We start from the raw sequence: 24723 nt of genomic DNA on the forward strand, positions 1-24723 counted from the left end.
GGCTGTCTCTTCAAGAGGATGGATGAAGAGTCTACTGGTCTGATGCTGTGCCAGCTGCACATAGGTGCAGCTGTGTCAGGTGGCCCTGTAGGAGTCTGTCTAGAGGAGCAGGTCCACCACTGGCCCAGCTCTTGGGCTGGATGCCAGTGTGAAATGGGGTTGGGCAGCCTTGCAGTTATTTGGGAGGGAGGGCTGCTACTGGACCAGCTGTCAGGCTAGACATAGAATAGCAGCATTCAGCTGCTCTTTGGGTGTCTGTATGCGGGAACGAGGCTGCCACAGGACCAACAGTTGGACCAGCTATGGATGCACCGCGCTTGGTGGGACAGGTGGCTATGGTGCAGGTACGTGCAGGAGAGGTAATTGGCTGACTGTTCAGTGACTTCAGCACCGTACAGATCTGCCTGTTCCCTGGGGGGTGGGGGGATGTGGTGTGTCACTTGGGTTTGAACACTGGGGTCTCAGTCATTCCATGTGACCTATGCTTTGGGTAGCTATGGTCATAGTGCTGCAGGTACCTGTGTGAATGTGGTATAAGGACAGCTAGGCCTCCAGGATGAAAAGAGTCAATTGCTACTGGTGCGCAGGGCAGGATGCACTCTAGCAGTGGGAAAGGTTCAAGATGGGACAGAGTTGAAGCTGCTTAGGTTGCGGGTCCTCAATGTGGACACTGAGGCATTGCATCTGTGTGAGCTCCCGGCTACTCTCCAAACTGGATTGGGGGCCTGTGAAGTTTAGGGGACTCCTATATCAAAGACTGCTAGCATTTCTGGTGGCAATGGGGACTGCTGGGAATCACCAGCATACATTTCCCCATAAACAGCACCCCATGACTGCCAAGTCTCCACTGGGGGAGACTGTGGCAGAGGCAGGATGCCTCGCTCACCTGTCCATGGTGCTGTCCTGGCCTTCCATGCACCACAGGAAGTTTGCTGCTCCCCTAGTGCGGTCCAGCATACTTCCTCGTCACTCTAGTTGAAATATAGTTGTTTACTTGTTGTTTAGATCCCCTTTTGGGGGAGGGATGAGCACTAGGCAACTCTCATTGGCCATATTGCTCTGGGTTGCCTTTTCATTGTGTTGATGTTGTCTTTTGATGCACAAAATTCTTAAATTTTCATGAAGTCCAATTTGCCTATTTTTTCTTTTGTTGTCTGTGCCTTTGGTGTCATAGCCAAGAAGTCATCTTAAAGTCCAACGTCTTGAAGATTTTATCCTACAATTTCCCCTAAAATTTTTATAGTTGTAGTTCTTACATTTAGGTTTTTTATTCATTTTGAGTTAATTCTTCTATATGTTATTAGGCAAGGGTCCAACTTCATTCTTTTGCATATGCCTATGTAGTTTTTCACTTCATCATTTCTTAACAAGACTGTCTTTTCCCCATTGAGTGGTTTGGGCACACTTGTCAAAAAATCACTTGACCATTTAGGCAAGGATTTATTTCTGGGGTCTCTATTCTATTCCATTGGTCAATATATCTGCCTTTAGGCCAGTACCACACTGTTTTGACTACTGGAACTGTAGCAAGTTTGAAATCAGGAATTGTTAAATCCTTCAGTTTTGTTCTTTCTCAAGGTTGTTTTGACTACTTGAGGTCTGTTGCAATTCCATATGAACTTTAGGGTGGGATTTTCTATTTCTGCAAAAAACATCAGCGAGATTTTCATAGCGAGTGCATTAAATCTACAGATTGCTTTAGATAGTGTGATATACTTCACTAATAGGTCAGAACAAGTATTTTTAGCAGGTTGCATTTAAATATAGGCAAGCATTTCCCTATTCAAGAGTCAAAACAAAGTAGAAAAATTTTTCTTAATCAGATAATTTATTTACACAGTCTTTAAAAAGAACAAAATCTCATGTAAGTATATGTTGAACAAATCTTCTTAAAAGAATAAAATCTCCTTAGTCGGAATTCTTGATGAAAATCATCACACAGAGATTATGGAAACTGAAACTATCTCAGAAAAAGTTCAAATGTAGGAAAAGGAAGAACGGGTCTAGATAGGGCATCAGAGAGACGCCTTCACAGGCAGGCTAAGGGAGGTGGGTGCCAGGGCCAGGGCATAAATGTTCAACTGAGTGTAGCAGGACTACGATGTTCTGTGGGAGGCTTGGAGCTCTTGGAGTTGAGGTGTTATATTTTAATCTATCTTTATTTTTAAGAGTAGAAACGTCTACACTATTGCAGAGAAAAAGCCATGACTCACTTTTCACAATGTACATGGCTGATCCTAAGCAGTTCTGAGAGCCCTCACATATTTCTGCAAGTTTGAAAATGCTGCTTTCTCTGGGAAGTCGGGTAGGGAATGAGAGGCAAAGGGGATATGCCCTCCTGATCCCTGCCACCTCCTTCCATACATGATATGAGCACCAAAAGACCACACTCATCAGGTGAGATAAGAAGACTCCAGGGGACTGCCTCTTCAGGAGGCACTGATAAGCGTATTTCAACCTTTGATCTATAACCACGTATACAAATACACTATTGATAACATTACTTAGAAAAGGAGTCTGACCATGATCTAGATGCCTGTACAACTAAAGAGCCCTTTCAGAGAAGTTTGGAGGGTATGAAGCGTTATTAAATTTTAATTTCTAAAATATGTAATAGGAGGAAATGACTTCTTAGATACCTTCATAGGAGACAAGAGGTCAAACAAATACAGACTGATTTCATCACTGTGCATATGATCACGTAATCTTAATATTCATCTTAAGAACCTTCCCTTTTTAATGTCTAACCTCAAACCCTGTTGCTAAAAAAGTATGGGAATTTTTTCAGCCAATAGGACAAATACTGAAGTTTAAATGTCATTGTAATATATTACTAGACACTTGCTCATAGGGAAGTATGAAACGAAATTAACTTTATTTTTTTATTTACATATAAATACCCTTGAATCCAATTTTATTAAAGGTTAAGTAAGGGATCAACCTACTATACAGAACCTAAACTTAAGTTATATGTAAAAATGGCTTGTTTCAGCTTTGCTTCCCGCTCTGGGGCTTATATTTTTATTACTTTGGTGCTATGTGTTACATTCTCTACAGAGGCTGGAGATGGTGAGTGTGCAGATATTATGTCATATAAAATATGTACAAAGATAATTAAGAAGTATAAGTGACATAACTGCCAAGTCTACATAAAAACTGCAACAACTGTAACTTAAATTCCAGTGAATTCAAAATTCTTCATGCTAAAAATAAACCAATCCAATAGTTTTTAGGTTATATATTAACAATGCATTTTAATGCATTTTCATGAAACATTTTCACTTGTTCTCAGGTTTAACAAGAATATTTCAGAAGAAACAATGAAAAGAAAACCACAACTATCTGAAAGCAATTATTTCCATATAACCATGTATGTAAACACACAGATAAATGTACATAACCTTCTTTAGGACTGGAGAAATCTGAGAAAAGCAAAAACAACATACCAAAGCTAATATAAATAAAGGATGCCTTATTGTCTAGTATTACTCCACAGTCAAGCACAGACCAAGGACATAAACTGTTGTACTTCAAAAATTTAACAGTAGGACTCAAGAAAAATGAAAGCAAATTAACTATATGACTCAAGGGAAAAAATGTCTATCCCGCCTCTCAAGGATCTACTTAGGCAACTTACCAGTCCTAACACAAAAAAAACGCATTACTATAAATAACAGAGTGAAAGTGGAGATCTACCACAATTTTGGACGCGGGTGAGGATGATTACATCATGCATTTGTTTCCAGTATTTTTGGAAAGCCAACTGTCTTGGGTTAAAAATATGAAATACTGTCACAGTAACAAATAACAAAAAAAGAAAGTACTATGATACTCTACTCAAGAAAGAAAACAATCAACAAACACAAAGTCATTTTCAAATGTGAAGGTGTTTCCAAAGCTCAATTTATTTAAAAAAAAAAAAAAAAGAAAGAAAGAAAGAAAAGAAAAAGAAATAGAGCTTGAATATCTGGGCCCTGGCTTGACTCCAAGCATTGGCACTTCTTGCTACTGGTTTACACAGCATTTTCCATACCCAAATTCCAGCTTGCTACTATCAATTCCCAAATTCCAGACTATTCTAATATTCCTTAGCATTAATATAATAAAAATTGACATCAAAAAAGGGTACACAGAATTTATACTCAGTAGCAAGAATCATTTTAAACACAAAATAACAACCTTAGGCAGTAAATAAACTATATGTGACATGTTATACATTATTTGTATTTATCATTTTATTTGATTATCCTGATCTGGAAAGTCAAAGAGATGGTCACAAGGGCAAAAATTTTTGTTTGGTAGTAGTCTGACATCAACAAATGTGAACAAATGGTGTCCTCTAATCTAATGGAGAGCCAGGTCCCCTAGCCAATGATGACAATTTAAAACGGTAAATGGCACATCTTAGGAGAAACAAAAGTAGGCCTTCTCAGAATGGTCAGACTCATGGCTCAAATTTTATACAACTGTATTTAAAAATTGTAAAATAAAGTAACAACAAAAAAAGTGGTGGCCCGGCATGGTGGCTCACATCTGTATTCCCAGCACTTTGGGAGGCTGAGGCGGGCAGATCACCTGAGGTTAGTAGATCAAGACCAGCGTGGCCAACATGGTGAAACCCCGTCTCTACTAAAAATACAATAATTAGCCGGGCATGGTGGCGGACACATGTAATCCCAGCTACTCGAAAGGCTGGGACAGGAGAATTGCTTGATCCCTGGAGGTGGAGGTTGAAGTGAGCTGAGATCATGCCAGTGCACTCCAGCCTGGGCAACAGAGAGTGAAACTTCATCTCAAAAAAAAAAAAAAAAAATTATGTTGGCTGGGCGTAAGGCTCATGCCTGTAATCCCAACACTTTGAGAGGCTAAGGCAGGAGGATTGCTTGAAGGCAGGAGGATTGCTTGACGGCAGGAGTTGAAGACAAGCCTCGGCAACACAGTGACAACCTATCTCTACAAAAAGATAAAAAATTCGCCGAGTGTGGTGGCGCATGCCTCTAGTCCCAGCTACTCAGGAGGCTGAGGCAAGAGGATCACTTCAGCCCAGGAATTTGAGGCTTCAGTGAGCTAGGACCGCACCACTGCACTCCAGCCTGCGCAACTGAGGGAAACTCCATCTCAAAAACAAAAACAAACCAGAAAAACCCCAATGTCATTCAAAATCATTCTTACAGCAATCCAGTTTCTTTTCCAGTCCCTTTCCATCAGACAATGGTGGCTCACTTGTATCACCCAAACACACCATGGGCTGTCGCGCTTCTTCACCTACCCAATACCCTCTTCTCCCCTCTGCTTCCCAAAACGTAACTTATTTGCTGTCACCTCTTCAGAGACGCCTCCTGGATGTCTCCACTAAAAGTTGCTCCTTCTTATTTTAGTTTCTCCCAGAATCTATTGGTTTGTTTCACAGTACTTACTATATTTTGCAATTATCTTGTTCACGTTTATTCCCTTTGGTCTGCTTTTCCAACTGCACTGTAAGCCTCATGGGCACAGGGGCCGCACAGACTTGCTCAGTGTGATGCGTGGTGATGACGCCTTCTCTAAGCTCTGTCTGCATCAATGGCTGCTATGTCTGCGCTCCTATCACCTGGCCACATCCCACCGTTTCCTTACCAGCTTCTCTCATTCAGTAAGGAAAAAGAAAACAAAAATGTTTGCCTTAAATGAATATCTAACAATTCAAGATTGGGGACAATGCTTTCTGCATATATACACCAGAGGAGACTAGCCCACATGCTTTATGTATATAATCTCAGCCCTCAAAGGAACCTGCAAATTGAGGTGCTTTGCAGCCAAGGAAAATGTGGTGCAAGGATTAACTCATCTCCCAAAGGTCACAGGGTCAATACACAGTAAGGCTGGGATTCAAACCAGGGTCTGTTCCTTCCTATGTGGCACAATCACATGTCTGAAGGGACATTTGCTTTCCTTCCCGCAACTCTTTCCAATCTTTCCTTTTTCCCCGTCTCTTCCCTTTAAAGAAACATGACAGTGGCAATGGCAAATAAATCTTGATGTTCTTTGGGGTCAAGGCAACTGGCTGATTATCCCTAAACCAGTACCTAACCATAGTTATGACAGAAAACATAGAGTTTATTACATAAAATATTCTGGATAGCAATGAACATCTATATCTCAGAAATAATTCTACAAATATACATATTGAACAGAAATAAATTATCAAATAGAAATTAAATGTCCAACAGAAATGCACATAGTCACTACATCATGACAGATAGTGGCAGAATTACTTAGATAATCTCTGAATATTTTACAGCAAAAAACAACATGTATAATATTAACAATAATATTTAGGGAAGAACTCTAATTTTATAGTTAAACTCAGGGTAAACAGAAAATCCTCTTAAATTCTTGTTCAACATTTTCTCATGCGCTAGAGTTTCTCATATAAATAAGTATCCTACACAGAATACATAAATAAGTATACTACTCTTAAGGAATGCAACACCCTCTTTCACACATGTGGATGTCTTGTGTGTATGTGCATATGTGCACAGACAAACCCCCATCCAGCTATCACATGGTTCTTAGCAGTTATTTCATATGCCACTGGATTCATCTGTTAGGGCTGCCATGACAGCCTGGGCACCATGGCGAAACCCCACGTCTACAAAAAATACAGTCATTAGCTGGGCATGGTGGTGCACTCCTGTGGGCCCAACTGCTTGGGAGGCTGAGGTGGGAGGATCACCTGAGCCCTGAGAGTTTGAGGCTGCAGTGAGCTGAGACTGCACCACTGCACTCCAGCCTGGACAACTGAACAAGACCCTATCTCACATAAATAAATAAATAAACAAACAAATAAATAAATAAATAGAGTATCTGGTTCTGGTTCATCAAAGTACATTTTCATTCACAAACATTCCATTAGTACAGTTTGTGTCATGAAGATAAATAACTTGTCCGTCAGGTGCTCTTGGTCTAGTGGTTCATATGGATACTGAAGAAAGAGCTCATGAGAACACCACAGGCTCTTGACCCAGTGTAGAGAGAACAGTGAAGAGGCTCGGAATGACTTTCTGGAGGAGATGCTTAACCAGATCATAGTGAATACAGCAGAGTCTCCAATATCTCTGGAGGCGGAAAGCAAAAACCACAATGCAAACAGGGAAGCAGGGGAGATGAGTCCAGAGAGGCAGGCAGGGGCTGCACCATGAGCTGCCTTTCTGGCTGGGCTAAGGAGCTCCAGCTTTACCTGGACACACCAAGAAATAATACAAGGGTGACAGCATGAAAGCCACAAGGTCCAACTGCTTCCAATAGAACACTTGAGCCATTCTGTACAGAGCAACAGTCATTGCCAAACACAGGCTTCCTGGCATGTGGCTGGGAGGCCTAAGCCACTTCCCCAGCGATTTGTTACTCATGATGGTTGAGTGACTTATAAAATGTTCTTCACAAATTAGACTAGATCCAAGATCAACCCTTTAATGGTATCACGCTCATTCTCTTGCATTGCAATAGGCTTTTCTGAGTGGGACAGACGTGGGTGGCAAATCACTTGATAACTGCAATGGAAAATCGACGCCCTGGTATTCCTTCTCCATTTCCATACATTGCCATTAGAATCCCAGATGTACTAGCAATATGAACTTGGACAAGTTCATATTTACCCTCTCTGCATCTCAGTTGCCTCATCTAAAAATAAGGATTATAAGTGCTTACCTTACTAAGGGATTAAAACATCAATGTAAAGCTGTTAGAACAAAGCCGGCTACATAGCAAGTACAAGAGAAATTTTTATTATTAATTACTACCGTGACTATTGCTACTGCCACTGTACTATCATAGTAGTTCTCTCTTATCCGTGGTTTCACTTTCCTGGTTTTAGTCACTCATGGTCCAAAAATAGTTGAGTCCAGTATGAAGAGATATTTTGAGAGAGAGATACTACATTCACATAGCTTTTATTACAGTATATTGTTATAACTGATCTATTTGATTATTATTGTTAATCTCTTACTGTGCCTGATTTATAAATTAAACTTTATCAAAGGTATGCATGTATCAGAAAAACAGAGTACTGTTTTTCTAGGGTTCAGTACTATCTGCAGGTTCAGGCATCCACTGGGGGTCTTGGAACATATCCCACACTAATGAGGTGGGAATATTGTTTAAGAAAACAGATGAAAAGTAAGAACCTCTGATCCAGGAAAAGGATTTGATGAAGCATGGGAGCTGACACCCAGGCTTCTAGCTGGTGGATGTATGAATGGTGGTGTCATCGACCTAAGCACAGAATTCAAGAGGAGTGGAGGAGCCCAACCTCAGGTCTGTTACAATGTGAGGTGCCTCTGGAACATGAAAGTGAAAATATCCACCAAGCAATAAGATTTATCATCTGGGGTATCAGGTGAGAGGTCTAGCTAGGTTGGGGATATGGAGTTAGAACTCATGAGTGAAGAAATCCAAAATTAAAGTTAAGGATATTATGGGTCTACATAGCATTTACAGAAGGGCCAAATAGACAATATTCCAGACAATAGAGGTTAGAGAAAAGCAAGCTATCTGTCTTAAGAGCACACTTTTTATATAACTCAAACTACATATGTGTATATCTGTATATATGTGTATGTGTGTGTCTATATACATATATACACATATATACATGTATACAGCCACATATATGTATATATACACACATATATACATATATGTATATATACACACATATACATATATGTATATATACACACATATACATATATGTATATATACACACATATACATATATGTATATATACACACATATACATATATGTATATATACACACATATACATATATGCATATAGACACAAACATACACACATATATGTATATGTATATAGACATACATACACACATATATATCATGTGATATATATATATACACACATATATCATACGATTTGCTGTATTAGTTGGCACATAATTTGAGCTGGGAGAGCAAAGTCCATCGCAATGTGACTTCATTATTCTTATGAGTGTTTTCAACTGTGGGTACCATTTTGGTGAACTGGAAAGCAAAGATACAGTCAGACATAAAGGTTACATTTCTCTTTAATTATATAAGATCCAACGTTTTTTCAACCTTCAGATAAAAAATTTTCTCAAAAATGTTGCTGTCACTTTAAATCTTAAACCTGTGTCTATTTTTAAAGAGATACTGTTCCTTCTGTAAAGTTATGGCTCTGATCTGAAGGGGCTGCCATGTTGGCACCAAATTATACACATTATACACACTAGAACAAAAAGCACCTCCCTACAGTTCAGTCAAGCATTTGAGCAAGAGCTCCAATGGCAGATTCCAGATGCTTTTTGATGATGAATGAGATTAAGCTCATACTCAAAGGCAGTATAGAATAATTCTCCATTCGCTGATATTAAAAACCTATAAAGGAACATAAAGCTAGTCGCATACTATAGTTTACCCCCTCTGGTTAAAGCATTCTTCTGAGTTAATCAGCCTCCAAGAAGAATGGGAAGCTTCAGATGGCTTGGCAGGTGTCAGGGCTAACACAGGACAGTGGACAGCCAGGCCTGCAGGAAGATGGACTAGAGGGTGGAGGGCAGGACGCTGGGACAAATGAGGGGGAAGAAGGTGACTGAGATGGCCCCAAAAGGAAACTCAGTCCACCCGTGCAGAGATATACCAACATGGTAAATATTCACCATGTTAGTAATCCTCACATTATCAGTCCTGGGTTGTTAAATGCACTTATTCCTAAGCTAATTTATGAGACATGCCTTTTTATTTATTTTTTTGAGATGGGGTTTCACTGTTGTTGCCCAGGCTGGAGTGCAGTGGTATGATCTCGGCTCACTGCAACCTCCATCTCCCGGGTTCAAGTGATTCTCCTGCCTCAGCCTCCCCAATAGCTGGGATTACAGGCACCTGCCACCATGTCCAGCTAATTTTTTTGTATTTTTAGTAGAGACGGGGCTTCACCATGTTGGCCAGGCTGGTCTCGAACTCCTGACCTCAGGTAATTTGCCTGCCTTCGCCTCCCAAAGTGCTGGGATTACAGGCATGAGCCACCGGGCCCAGCTGAGACATGCAGTTAAACAGGAAGGAACAAAAACATTTCTGTATATTCTCCTTCCCTAAAATCTACTGTGAAAGAGAAAAGAATAAAATATAATAAAATGGTTTCATAAATAAATGGTTATTACTCCAACACCACAAACTATAATGAACATTAGCTGAATACAGGGAAACTGGACCAAAATGAGGGAGGGCATTAGCAATGAACACATGGCTCCTTGGAACGCAAGCATGACACAGATTTTTCTCCGTCCTAAAAGACCACTGAAATGAGCCATTGGCTAAAGGGCTAAGATCTGAGTGAGAACATACTAAAAGAAAAGGGGCAGCAGTGGGTATCCCCAGAGAAACCCTGCTAACAGCACGTGGCAGAAGAGGAGCAGAAGGGGGAATCACGAACAGTGACTTTACTGTCCGAGAAGGAGGTGACAGGAACGAGGGAGGGGACATAGTGCTCACTCATCAACCCACTGACAGCCTCTATTTCACTGCCAGTCCCAAAGTGGGGAATGACTCAAAAGTGACAAGGCTGTTGCTTAAGCCAGTAAGTAGCTCAAACGAGAACTAGGGCTGACACACAGATAATTCACATATCATGGGAGCAAGGAAAATGAATGAAATACTGCTCTATGCAACAATCGGGATCAATCTCAAGAAGCAATGTTGAGTGAAAGAAGCCAGAAAGCATACTGAATGGTTCCGTTCATGTAGAATCCCAAAACAGCAAAAGTCAATGATATTAGAAGCTGAAGAAGTAGCTACCTTTGAGCAGAGAGGAAGGCCTGCCTAATGACTGAAAGGAGATCAGAGGAAACTCTGAAACTCCAGTGGTGTTCTATTTCTTCACCTGAATAGTTGTCGTGAGTTTTGGCATGTTGATCATTCGCTGAACTATAAGCTTATGTTATATGCGCTTTTGTGTACATGTACGATGCTTTAATAAATATAGTAGAGATGGGAGAAGAGAGAGAGAATATGAATAAATAAAAATAAATAATCCTATGTACATCCTAGCAGAGAAAGCAAGTCATCATTAAGTGGGCAACTCAAGTTAGCCCCCAGTATCACATTAAGGAAATTCAATGCCCAAAGACAGTATCTACAAGATTCCAGTAAAAGAAAAGGTGACTCGAGATTTTTATACCTAGACGAATTATCTATTAAATGAGAAAGGAACAGATACTCTGAAGTGTTAGGTTCTGAATGCTTCTGTTCCCTCTACAATTCAAGTTCAAACTTAATTATCAACGAAAGCATCTTGAGCGGGGGGCCTTCAGGAGGTGATTAAGTCATGATGTTTACAAGCACACCTAAACCCCTGTGAAAGGTATTCGGTGCGCTTATAACAGGGCTTAAGAAGGGAAGTTCATTCCTCTTGCCCTTCTGCCTTCTGTCATGGGAGGACACAGCATTTCTCTTCTCCAGAGGATGCAGTGTCACCAGATGGAATGCAGCCCTCGCCAGAAAACTGAATCTGTCCGCTCCTTGATCTCAGGCTTCCCAGCCCCCAGAATGGTAAGAAATAAAGTTCTATTATTTATAAATTACCCAGTCTCAAGTATTTTGTGAAACCAGCACAAAATGGACTAAGGCATCTAGTATGCAGGAACAAAGGATATGTAACATAAACCATATTTGAAATAAACAAAAATAAAATTCTTGGCAATTAAATCTAGCCAAATAAGCAACAAATCAAAAAGCTATCAAAACTATTTTGAAAATTACAGTTTAAAATACAGTTATATATGTATAAAACATACATAGAATGTAGATACATATGCACGTATATATGTGTATATACATATAAAACTTCTCAATATTGTCAATAATTGTTATTTTTACTTTACAGTAATATTTTAGGAAGTAATAGCTTAATATTCTTGGACTCACATAGTAAAAGTTCAGAAATTACTTCATCTGATTTTCCTTTCTTAGATTCAAATTTACATTTAAAAATATTATGCTTCTTCATTTGTCAATATAGTTACCTGCTTCTTGACCTACCTTTCTGTCTATCTTAGGAACGTATCTTTTTTTTTTTTTTTTTTTGAGACAGAGTCTTGCTCTGTCACCAGGTTAGAGTGCAGTGGCGCAATCTCGGCTCACTACAACCTCAGCCTCCCAGGTTCAAGTGATTCTCCTACCTCAGCCTCCTGACTAGCTGGATTACAGGTGCCCACCACCACGCCCAGCTAATTTTTGTGTTTTTAGTAGAGACGGGGTTTTACCAAGTTGGCCAGGATGGTCCCGATATCTTGACCTCGTGATCCACCCATCTCGGCCTCCCAAAGTGCTGGGATTACAGGCGTGAGCCACTGCGCCCGGCCAAGAACGTATCTTGAATGATGGTCACCAAAACATACTTCTGATTATTTCAAGGTGGTGGGAATTTGACTGAAATGTTTTTAGCTTTCTGAATGTTTCAGTTGGTTGAAAACAATGAATATAAATTACTTTTATGAGAGCAATACCATCTTTTTTCTCATATTGAATTAGTTGCCAAAAAAATGGCCCGGCTGCCTTCTGCCCACCACCCTCCTACTCTACCTCCCCTCCCAAAATTTGTAGTATTTAATGTACCTAAAAAAATGGACCTCTTTATTTACTATCTGTAGGCATTGGATGAAGCGAGCCAGTAGGTTCAAGGAACAAAACAAAATCCACCATGCAGAAGGGCGTTGCATATGGTTTGACTGTTTTATAAACAAGATGACAGATTCTGATGACTAAACTTGTTTTCTCATTATCAAAAGCAACACTCTGAACTCCAGAACATTTGCTTTAACAACTTACCTGAAGTTAATGAGGGAAGAGTTTCAAGGAACTAATTAATGTGCATTCCTCACAACACAGGCTGCCAGTTGGTGGTTTTTGCCAAGATGCCTACCACAAGGGAACAGGATGTGGCCTCCCATCTTACCTATAGTGACAGGAGTCATTGACTTCAGAGTGGACTCACCTGGGCGGAAAGAGTGACGATGTTCCGCCTGGCTGCATCTTTTGTTATAATTTCACAGAGGAGATAACTTGATTGGAGGCAAATGGACACAAATCCTCCCAAAGCACCCAATTCAACTTTTATATCAAACTTAAAAAACATGCTACCTTTTCTGAGATAAATACGTGTTTCTGGCAAATTCACGACCACAGTGAAGGCCAATTAAAGTTCAAACAGAAGCTGGCAGAAATTTCATTTCCCTCAGAAACAGCAGAAGGCTGTTCAATCATGGATTGCCGCTACCAATATGCAAGTATTACTGATCACGCGAGGTAACAACGGCTGGAATTTCAAAATCTGTGTCTCTAAAAATATACAAAATGTCCAACTCGGGCCACTGTTTTTGGCGCAAGTTCTGGGAAACTCTTAGGGAGAACATTTCGTATTTTTCACTCCGGATCCATAGTGTGAAGCAGGCCCTGAAATCTCCAGTGATGACATGAGTAAACAGTAACAGTAAAGTGATAAAATAAGAAAATTTTTAAAACAGCATTCAAGATACCACTAGCCAAACGGCATCGTGCTAATGACTTCTACTTTTAGATGACAAGTCGTGCTATTTAGACAACCAAATTTCATTGCAGACAGCCTTCAGGAACAGGTACCAAGGCAACCATACCGCTGCCAGGCTGTGGGTAGCCGTGGGGGGCTAGAGGAGGGAGAACACACGGATGAAGATCCGAAACACCACCACAAACTTAAAAAAATTATCTACAGAAAAACTAAAAACTGGACTTCATTCAACACCCATCTGGCATCTCGGAGAGAGAAAGAAATCACTTAGGGCTCCCTGTCTTCAACAAATTGTATCTTTCAAAACTGCCAGTAAGGCAGATTCCAACCCTCTGAATGAGACTATTTGCAAGAGATTTGGGTGGTTGACATTTTAGTGTTATTTCTGGACATGACATCTTTGGTTGATTACTTGGGTATAAAATAATGAGCGAGTGGCCCCTGTCATTTACTCCTGTTACAACAGCGAAAAGCATGCCATTGCTGCTGTCAAAATACGTCATAAAAGACTCATATTTCAAAATAGTTTGGTGTCAAAAGCTATTAATCATAATATCAATATATAGAATGAGGGAGGAGAGCAAAATAAACTTCATTTCTCCCCAATATGAAGAATAAAAATCAGTCACATATACACCTACACCCTTCATCATACCCAGACCCAAATCCCAGTGGAATCAGGATCAGGAAGTGAGGCAGAACCCTGCAGACCAGCCAGCTCATCCAGAAGATGACACATAGGCCCATCATGAAGCAGGGGAAAGAAACCACTTTCACAAACGCAACGGAACTATGAGGTTCATAGGTGTGTTACTATGTGTGGGAGGCGGGGTGATGGCTCCCCAAATATATTTCTGTCCCAATCCCTGGAACCTGCGCATATCAGCTCATGAGGCAAAAGGGACTTTGTCGAAGTGGATAAGTGAAGGATCTTGAGTTGGGGAGGTTATCTGGGTGGGCCTGATATAATTGCAGTGGTGCTTATAAGAGGGATGGGAGAAGAATCAGAGTGAGAGGAGAATGCAATGTGATGACGGTAGCAGAGAATGATGTGGTAGGTTCTGAGGATGAAGGAAGGGGCTGTAAGCCAAGGAATGCAGGCACTCACTAGAAGCTGAGAAAGGCAAGGAGCCATTCTCCTCTAGAGCCTCCTGAAGGAAGTGACTTGGGTGACATGTGGAGTCTAATTCAGTGAAAAAGATCTCAGACTTCCGCCCTCCAGAAGCATAAGAGAATAAATCGGTGCTGTTTTCAGCCACTGTTTGTGCTCATTGTTTATAGCAGCAATAGGAAACTAAGGCACTATGCAAACATATGCCGCGTATTTATCTCCATTAGCACTTTCAGCTACTCTGCAACTTATTTTTCTAGGCCTCAAAATACTATTCATAAAGCATCTATGGAAGCTTTTGCCTCCTGTTACACAAAGTGAGAGTAGAATAATCTACTTTTGTCTTGGCACAGAAAATTTGCAATGAAATGCAACACATTTTAATTCTTACACAAGGCTAGGAAACATTATTAGTGATATTGCAAAAACAAAAATACACTTCCAATTCAGACCCACAAAATGAGCACTCTTCGATTATAATTCTATTCACCTCCCTGTGAGTACCATGCTATTGGTTTTCTTCTGGGTGTGGCAGGAAGTTTCAGTGAAAGAGAAAGAAAAATTAACAGATAAGCCCAAGTACCTGGCCACTCAGGCTGAAAAGGGAGTGGTAGGGGAACTGAAGGCTAGATAGTCAAGGAAGGTTAACTGTATGCTAGATGGCCAAGGAAGGCCAAGGAAGGTGATCACTGATCTGCCCGCCCCCGTCTTCGCTACTCCTTGTAACCACAAAGGCATGAAAAGATATGGAGACCTCTGAAGCAGTCAAAACATAAAGATACTATCACTCTCAGAAGGCTCTGCACTAGGATTCAGATGGGTTAGGGGTTTATTTTTCTTTTTTATGGCATTGATATCACTGTTTATGTCAAAGATTGTTTGCAAAAACAGCTGTGATCATCCCGCCCTCTCCTCTGTACCTTCCATGCCCCTGGTGTTTCCTTGTACACTGGCTCTGGGCCTAATCAAGTGAATTGCTTTGGTCAATAGAGAGGGCATTAGCAAATGTGAATGTAACAGACTTGGAAAGTGCTTGTGTACCTGGGCTTATGTCTTAGTCCATTTTTGTGTTGCTATAATGGAATACTTGAGGCTGGGTAATTTACAAAGAAAAGTGGTTTATTTGGCTCCTGGTTCCACAGGCTGCACAAGAAGCATGGCGCCAGCATCTGCTTCTTGTGAGGGCTTCAGGAAGCTTCCGCTCAAGGCAGAAGGGGAAGGGGAGCTGTTGTGTATAGATGACAGCGAGAGGATGGAGGGCAAGACGGAAGGGAGGTGCTAGGCTCTTTTTAAGAATCAGCTCTCCTGGGGACTCATAAAGCAAGACCTCACTGGTTACCATGAGGACACACCAAGCCATTCAAGAGGGATCCGCCCCAATGTCCCAAAGACCTCCCACCAGGCCCAACCTCCAGCACTGGGGATCAAATTTCAACATCAGATTTGGAGGGGACAAACATCCAAACTGTATCAACTTGCACCTCATGCACGTGAGCTGTACCTTGTACTATCCCTGGAAGAGACCACCATGTGAACAAACCCAAGCTAGCACATCAGAAGGCGTGAGAAGCCACCCGGAAGAGAAGTGCAGTGTCTTGGACAACGGTCTGCCAACCACCACAGATGAGTGAGACCATCCTAGGGTACCCTATTAGCCAACCCCCCAGCTGACCCCACATTCAGGAGAGAGCCCAGTAAATATCAGCTTAGACAGTTCTGACAAAATTGTAAGATGGTTTTGTTTTAATCCACTAGATTTGGGGGGTTTTTTGGTGCAGCAAAAGGTTACTTGATATAATCTATAAAGCTAACACCAACACACTGGAGAAATTATAAAAAATAAAAAGTAGAAAAATAAAATCACTGAGAATCCCAACATACAGAGACATTAACCAATAATTTTTTCATTTATTTATGCACCTATGTGAATATTCTCTGTAACTGGAATCACACTGTAAAGCAATGTTGTTGTTTTTTTCAGCGAGACTGAGTCTCACTCTGTCGCCCAGACTGCAGTGCAATGGCGTGATCTTGGCTCATTACAACCTCCGTCTCCTGGGTTCAAGCGATTCTTGTGCCTCAGTCTCTGAAGTAGCTGGGATTATAGATGCCCGCCACCACGCCCAGCTTATTTTTGTATTTTTAGTAGAGATGGGGTTTCACCATGTTGGCCAGGCTGGTCTAGAACTCCTGATGCACCTGCCTTAGACTCCCAAAGTGCTGGGATTACAGACGTGAGCCATGGCACCCGGCCTTGTAAATGCAATCTTATAATGTGCTATTATAAGTATTCTCGTGTCATTTTATGTTCCATCATCTACTAGTTAATTTAACCATTTTTATATCAAGGTGGCTCAAAGCTTCTACTGTTAAAAGTACTGTGGCAAATGAAACCCCGTCTCTACTAAAAAATACAAAAAATTAGCCGGGCGCGGGGGTGGGCGCCTGTAGTCCCAGCTACTTGGGAGACTGAGGCAGGAGAATGGCGTGAACCCAGGAGGCGGAGCTTGCAGTGAGCCGAGATAGCACCACTGCACTCGAGCCTGGGCGAAAGAGCGACACTCCGTCTCAAAAAAAAAAAAAAAAATACTGTGGCAAGAAACATATTTATACTAACCTTTTCTGAGTTCCTGATTATTTCTTGATGATAGAATTCCAAGGGAGCTTACTGCAACAAAAGGTTGGAAGCTTTTACGGTGCCTGGCATATACTCCAAAAATGGGTCTAGAATTAACACGCTAATTTACAATCCAACAGCAATGCATGAAAATGTCTATTGCACCAAACCTTTACTATCACTTTGCATTATCATTTTTAAAATCTTCGTTAATCGATATTCTAAAAAATAGTAACTTGTTTTAATCTGCATTTCATTGACTGCTACTAAGGCTGACCAGTTTTTTATAGGCTTGGTCATTGATCTTCTCTTGTGAAATATCTGTTCTTGCTCATTTTTTTTTTTCTACTGAGGTATAAAAAGTAGCTTTCTGCCATTTATCTCCAACGCTTTTGAGAGTGGTTAAGATAAGCCGATATTGTTGGGACAGGGCAGAGATATTTAATCCCAGGTCCCATGGTCAAGTATATACAATTTTTCCTAGACAGAATCTATGGCTTTCATTGACTTCCTTAAGGGGCCAATGGACTTATAAACTCTGAGAACCAACTGGGCTAAATGAGGAAGTACAGTATCAGTAGCTTCCACCAAACTGATGCCTCAGTATTACCCAACTAGTCACAGAAGACCTAACTGAATGAAAAGCAGTTCTGATGAGTGCTCATGGGAAGTACACAAAGGGACAGAGACCATAGCCTAACAACAGTTTAAATTTATATTCAAGTCATGAAATGTAATATATACCACTGCTTTGCATTTTCTCTTACCATTGTTGATTCTGCTATGTGCCAGCTAAAATCTCACCTCTACTTCCTGTGGACTGAGTATTTATGACCCCTCCAAATCCATATGTTAAAGCCCTAAGTGCTAATGTGATGGTATTTGGAAGTAGGGTCCTTGGAAGAGAATTAGGTCATGAGAGTGGAGCCCTTATAAATAGGATTAGTGCTCTTATAAGAACAGACACAAGAAAAATGATCTCTCTGCCATGTGATGATACAGAAAGGATGTGTCACCTGGGACCAGAAAGAGAGCTCTTGCCAGGAAATGAATTAGCCAGCACTTTGATCTCAGATTTCCCAGCCCAAAGAACCATGAGAAATAAATTTCTGCTGTCTAAGTCACCCAGTCTATGGTATTTTTGTTATAGCAGCCCAAGCTGACTAAGATACTGCAGAAGCTTTTTTAGACTATCTCAAGCCATGATGATTTCTGCCCAGGCTACATTTCTACTGCAGTGACACCTGGTGTTCCAATTTAACAGGTTAACTATTCTTCAAGTTTCACTAGGTTAGTAGCTCTGTTAGAAACAGAACTGGGTCATACCTTTTGTGCCTTTCAGAAAGGCTTACGAAGATATTAGATAAGAATTTAATAAACATTTCATAGGTTCTTAACCACTTCTGCAGAAGTGGTTAAAAGCTCTTGGTTAACTTCCAAGGTTGGAAGCATGGATGGAGTTTGATAAAGTCTACCTGCATGGCTTTGACAGGTTACTCTAAGCTTAAGGTTCCTCATCTGTAAAATGGGAAAAAAGTAACTCCAGCTCACAGAAATATCTTATTTAAGATGACCTATCTTAGGGAAGATAAGCACTCATAAATGGACTATTAGTATCATCAGCCATCATCATTACTAGGCAAATATTTTCACCTATATTCATTTCTAAAAACTGGTCAATTTAAGGCACTGAAATGCAAAGTTATATAAATCTTATTAAAATAGAAAACCCGGCTGGGCATGGTGGCTCATGCCTGTAATCCCAGCACTTTGGGAGGCCGAGATGGACGGATCACCTGAGGTCAGGAGTTCAATACCAGTCTGGCCAACATGGTGAAACCCCATCTCTACGACAATAAAAAAAAAAAAAAAAAAAAAAAAATGAGCCAAGCGTGGTGGCAGGTGCCTGTAATCCCAGCTACTCAAGAGGCTGAGGCAGGAGTGTTGCCTGAACCCAGGAGGCAGAGGGTGCAGTGAAGTGACATCACACCACTGCACTCCAGCTTGGGTGACAGAGTGAGACTCTGTCGCAAAACAAACAAACAAACAAAAACAGAAAACCCAATGTTATTCAAAGTGGTGTTTGCTATAGTTCAAGTAGTGATCAGCGAAAACTCTCATAGTCTGAAGCAACAGAAAGCTGTAATAAATTAGGGTTCAAAGAACTGTTATAAAGGCTATAACACGGACCCAAAAATTTTTGTGAAAGAAGTAGGTGAACAGCTAAAGTAAAAAACGTATATATACTGAACATGCAGAAATTCTAGAGTATCTATTAAAAGCTTGAATGAGCTTGAATGAGAAGAACAAGCTGAATCTTTTGGTCACTGTCCTAGGAACACAGCAAGTTGAGAAATAACAGTCTCCAAGATGTTATAAAGTTGGGCAACTAACTTTTCTGCATTCTCTTATAGCAAATTACAGCTGGCAAAGTCTTTTAGATAGCAATTGCTTTCAATTCAGTCAACCAAAATGACCAAACAATGAACCTTTAACACTAACCATTGATCTTGCTAATTGCATCTGCCACTATATCAGCTTCTTTTGTTCCCAGTCAGCCCTCTTCCAACACGACTCCAATTGCTAAACTGTCGGAACACACAAAGTGACAGATTTAGTGTTTCATTGGCAATTTATATAACTGACTGCAACACTGTTGTAGTGAATCATGATTTGTCTCACATTGCAGCACATCACCTTTTAAATGCAAGGGGGAAGAAAGCCAACACCTCTTTAAAGTTTAATATGTGACCATCTACCACTACATCCTATGATCTGAAAGAGAGCAGATCAAATGAGTGATGTATTGCTTTTCCCTTTCAATACCTATAACTTCCTGCACTAGGCATTCATGAATCCTGTGCTCACACACTCTTCTTCATCTGCATGTGATTCAGGGGGAAATCTGGTAGTTATACATGAATGACATCTATACCAGTCAGTGGATGGAACCTAGAATAAAGGGTTACAATGATGAATATTTGGGGCGGGAATTCTGCACTAAAGGGCACATGCGTGGATATGGGGGCATCTTAAAACTCTCCAAATTAGATGTAAAATGTCATATGTGAAAATATATATTGGGGGGGTTATCTCCATAGGTTTCACTTGTTTCTCAAAGATTTCTGAAAAGATGAAAAATAATGGCTTAAGGTAACTTGACTTATTGTTGCAATAATGAAAAAGAATGATGACATGAATAAGCAGGTGAACAATGCAACAGTATCACAGGATATCAAGTTTTACACCAAGGCTCAGCAGCAAAAAGTAAGAAACATGAGAAATGGTTGGTGTTATGGGCTGAATTCCATCCTAACCCTCAATATCTCAGAATGTGACTATTTGGAAATGGTGACTTCACAGAGATGATTTAGTTAAAATGAGGTCATATGAGTGGATCTTAATCCAATATGACTGTTGTCCTTACAAGAAGGGCAAAGCTGAACACAGACAGGTACTGAGGGAAGGCACAGTGAAGACACAGGGAGAAAAGGGCCACCCACAAGCCAAGGAGTGAGGTCTAGAAAAAATCATTCCCTTAAACCCTCAGAAGAAACCAATTCTGTTATTTTGACATTAGACTTCTAATCTCCACGAACACAAGAAAATTTATTTCTGTTGCTTAAGTCACCCAGTCTTTGGCACTTTGTTATGGCAGACCCAGCAAACTAATACAGTTGGTCTCGGCTATAATAGTGCATTAACAGATAAGTTAAAAAGCAATAAAGACCAAGAAATTATTCTAGGGGTTAAAAACTTGTTAATACCAAGAATAAAGATGAAAATGGTCTTAAAGAACATGTGTACATAACATGAAGTCTGATATGCATCCTAATACCGCTATGTCTGCTATGGAATCCAGCCAGTGAATGCAGGGTTGAGGGAATGACCTGAGCAAAAATAACCTCTGGCGGTTGTGTAAATGGGTAAGAAAAGAGCAGAAAAATAATTATACCTTTCCACATTGGCAGTTATCAAAAATTAATCCAGACTTTTGCTTCTGGCATTCTGAAGTAACTGGACAAAATGTATAATAGAAATGCTTCTAGATATTGGGCAATGTATTAGTCCATTCTCACACTGCTAATAAAGACATACCCAAGACTACATAATTTATAAAGGGAAGAGGTTTAATTGAGTCACAGTTCAGCATGGCTGGGGAGGCCTCAGGAAACTTACAATCATGGCAGAGGGGAAGCAAACATGTCCTTCTTCACGTAGCGGCAGCAAGGAGAGGTGCCAAGCAAAAGGGGAAAAACCCCTTTATAAAACCATCAGAGCTTGTAAGAACTCACTATCACAAGAACAGAAGCATGGACTAACAGCACCTATGATTCATTTGTCTCCCACTGGGTCCCTCCCATATGTGGAGATTATGGAAACTACAATTCAAGATGAGATTTGGGTGGGGGCACAGCCAAACCGTATCAGGAAACAAGCAGCACAGGACTATGATGCATGAGGGAAGGAAAATGAGTAAGGAAAACTCCACATTCACTCTGGTTTTCTCTGAGAAGCATTTCCAGACAGCTGTGCAAGAGTGGATCAAACAATACAGTGGCAATGCTGAATTGAAAGGACAGAAATCAGAGTTTGAGGCTACTCAAGGAGCTGGAATTTGTGGGGCAAGGAGGGCATAGCAGGAAAGGAGCTATGAAGAAAAAGAGGCCCAGAAAGCTGCACAGGAATTCCCATGAATCTTTGCCAAATATTAACTACAATGTTCAGGACAAGACTCCTAAAGGCTGGGAAAGAAAAAACAAAAACTACCAGGGAAAGACCAACTACAAGGAAGATATAACTACCAGGGAAAGACCAATTACAAGGAAGATATAAGCTAAACAATCACTGGAGTTTTCACAGAACTAGAAAACACTCACACTCTGATCAGCCAGAGAGTAACGATGTTACTAAGCACCCTGGTCAAGAGGCAGTAATCCCAGAAGTCTTAAGATTAGGGTTAATCTAGCCCAGGAGTAAAGACTAGTAAGGACCAAGTCTAACAGGCATTAAAAACCAGCCCTGAAAGAATCAAGCTAACCAAAAATTAACGACCTGCTAGAATGAAACCCAACAGACCATAAAAAAAGACAAAAAGAATTCATACAACCAAAAATGTACTATTCTTAATGTCTACGATACAGTAAAAACCAAAAACCAAAAAACAAAAAAACCCACAGAAAACTAGACATTCAGAGTAAGAGGAAAAAAGTGGCTTACAAACAAAAGAAAAATCCATCAATGCAAACAGAATCAGAAATTACATTACCAGATAAAAATGTTAAAACAGCAATTTAAAATATGTGCAAAGATTTAAAGAAAAACATGAACATAATAAGGAAATAAATAGTATCTAAATTGAGAAATGAAATTATAAAAAGAGCTATACCTTGCATACACTTGGAAGTGAAAAATGCAACATCTGAAACAATAAATCTTACTGAATATGCTTATCAGGAGATTAGACACTACAGAACAAAAAAAATCACTGAACTTAATGACAGTGCACAAGAAACTATCCAAACTGAAGCCAAAAGGGGGATGGTGGGGGAGGGGAGGGGGGAAGATGATGAAAAGAAACAAAACAAGATAAAAAGTTTTGTATAAGTGACCTGTGGAAGATATCAAGTGATCTAACACAAGAGTAATGTAAGTTCTAGGAGAGGAGAGAGAGATGGGAAATCAATCAATCAATAAAAAAAAAGGCTGAAAATTACTAACCTACCAACCAATCAATTAATTTTAAAAAATGGCTGAAAATTTATCAAACTTTATGAACACTATAAACCCATATATGAGACAAGCTCCATAAAACTGTCAAAAAGAAATAAAGAACATGTTACATGAGAAACTGCTAAAACCCAATGATAAACAGAAAATTTTAAGAGGCCACAGAAAAATAGACACAGAGAACAATGTAAGAAAGACACTAAAACAATGCAAACCAGAGACAAGAAAACACCCTTGAAGCAAGGTAGAAGTAAAAAAAATAAAAAACCTGTCAACCTAAAATTTCATATCCTGAAAAAAAATTCCTCCAAAAACTGAAAACAAAATAAAAATATTTCAGATAAACAAAAGCTAATTAATGACCAAAAAGAACTGTACTACAATAAATACAAAAGAAAAAATTCTTCAGGATAAAGGCAAATGATACCAGATGGAAGCGCCTATCTACATCAAGGAAAGAAGAGCATCAGAAATGGTAAATAGAGAAGCGGCAGTCAATGTGAAAAACTTTTTCCTCCTCTCTAAAGTTATTTAAGAAAACTAACTTAAGGAAAAAAAAAAACAATATTACTGGGAGTTATAACATATCAACTAATGTAACCTAACATTTATGGAACACTGATGGGGCACATAAAACTTTTAAGTGTGCATGTAAAATTCACCAACTAGAGAATACGCAGGCCCATAAAACAAATCAACAAATTGTGAAGGACTAGAATTATATAGACTATGAATTTTGATCAGGACATAATTTAAATTAGAAATCAGTAACAAAATGTTTCGGATATCTCCGAATACTTGAAAACAAACAAATTCTCAATTTCTAAATAACAGGCCCCAGGTCTTACAAAAGAAAATATTTGAAACTGAATGATAATGAAATTACAGAATGTGTGAGATGCTGCTAAAACAACGGAGAAAAACTTCTAACTTGAAATGCTTACACTAAAAAAGAAGAGGCCGGGCACGGTGGCTCACGCCTGTAATCCCAGCACTTTGGGAGGCCAAAACAGGCGGATCATGATGTCAGCAGATCGAGACCATCCTGGCTAACAGAGTGAAACTCCGTCTCTACTAAAAAAAAAATACAAAAAATTAGCTGGGCCCGGTGGCAGCCACCTGTAGTCCCAGCTACTCAGGAGGCTGAGGCAGGAGAATGACGTGAACCCAGGAGGCGGAGCATGCAGTGAGCCGAGATAGCGCCACTGGACTCTGGCCTGTGTGAAAGAGCAAGACTCTGTCTCAAAAAAAAAGAAGAAAAACTGAAAATCAATCACGTAAGCTTTCACCTAAACAAGCTAGAAAAATCACAGCCAGCTGTACTCAGAAGAAGAAAAGCAAATCATTGAAATACAAAACAAAGAATAAAATAACTCAGTGAAACTACAATCAGCTATTTGGACCAATCAATCAAAGGGGGGAAAAATGGAAAACATAAATTAACAATAAAAATGGGGACAATACAGACTAACTCAGAAGAAATGTACTTTTTAAAAAAAAATTATTTTAAGTTCCAGGATACCTATGCAGAACTTGCAGGTTTGTTACGTACATATACACGTACCATGGTGGTTTGCTGCACCTATCAACCCATCAACTAGGTTTTCAGCCGCACATGCATTAGGTATTTGTCCTAATGCTCTCCCTCTCCTTGCCCCCCACCCCCCCAGCGGACCCCAGGGTGTGATGTTCCCCTCCCTGTTG

The 24723-nt window shown here is 40.1% G+C and overlaps 1 protein-coding gene and 1 long non-coding RNA gene across 4 annotated transcripts in view; both read right to left on the minus strand.

The window, feature by feature from the left end:
• RSU1 (Ras suppressor protein 1) overlaps positions 1–24723 on the minus strand; it is a 226814-nt gene that overhangs the window by 123577 nt on the left and 78514 nt on the right. The window lies entirely within an intron of this gene.
• LOC124902384 (uncharacterized) lies at positions 1810–24017 on the minus strand. The gene is made up of 2 exons (XR_007062072.1): positions 19792–24017; positions 1810–17340 (listed from the first exon to the last, which is right to left on the minus strand). It is a non-coding gene; the product is annotated as an uncharacterized LOC124902384 (long non-coding RNA).

This window comes from Homo sapiens, chromosome 10 (assembly GCF_000001405.40).
Source record: "Homo sapiens chromosome 10, GRCh38.p14 Primary Assembly".
In the NCBI taxonomy this organism is placed as follows: Eukaryota; Metazoa; Chordata; class Mammalia; order Primates; family Hominidae; genus Homo; species Homo sapiens.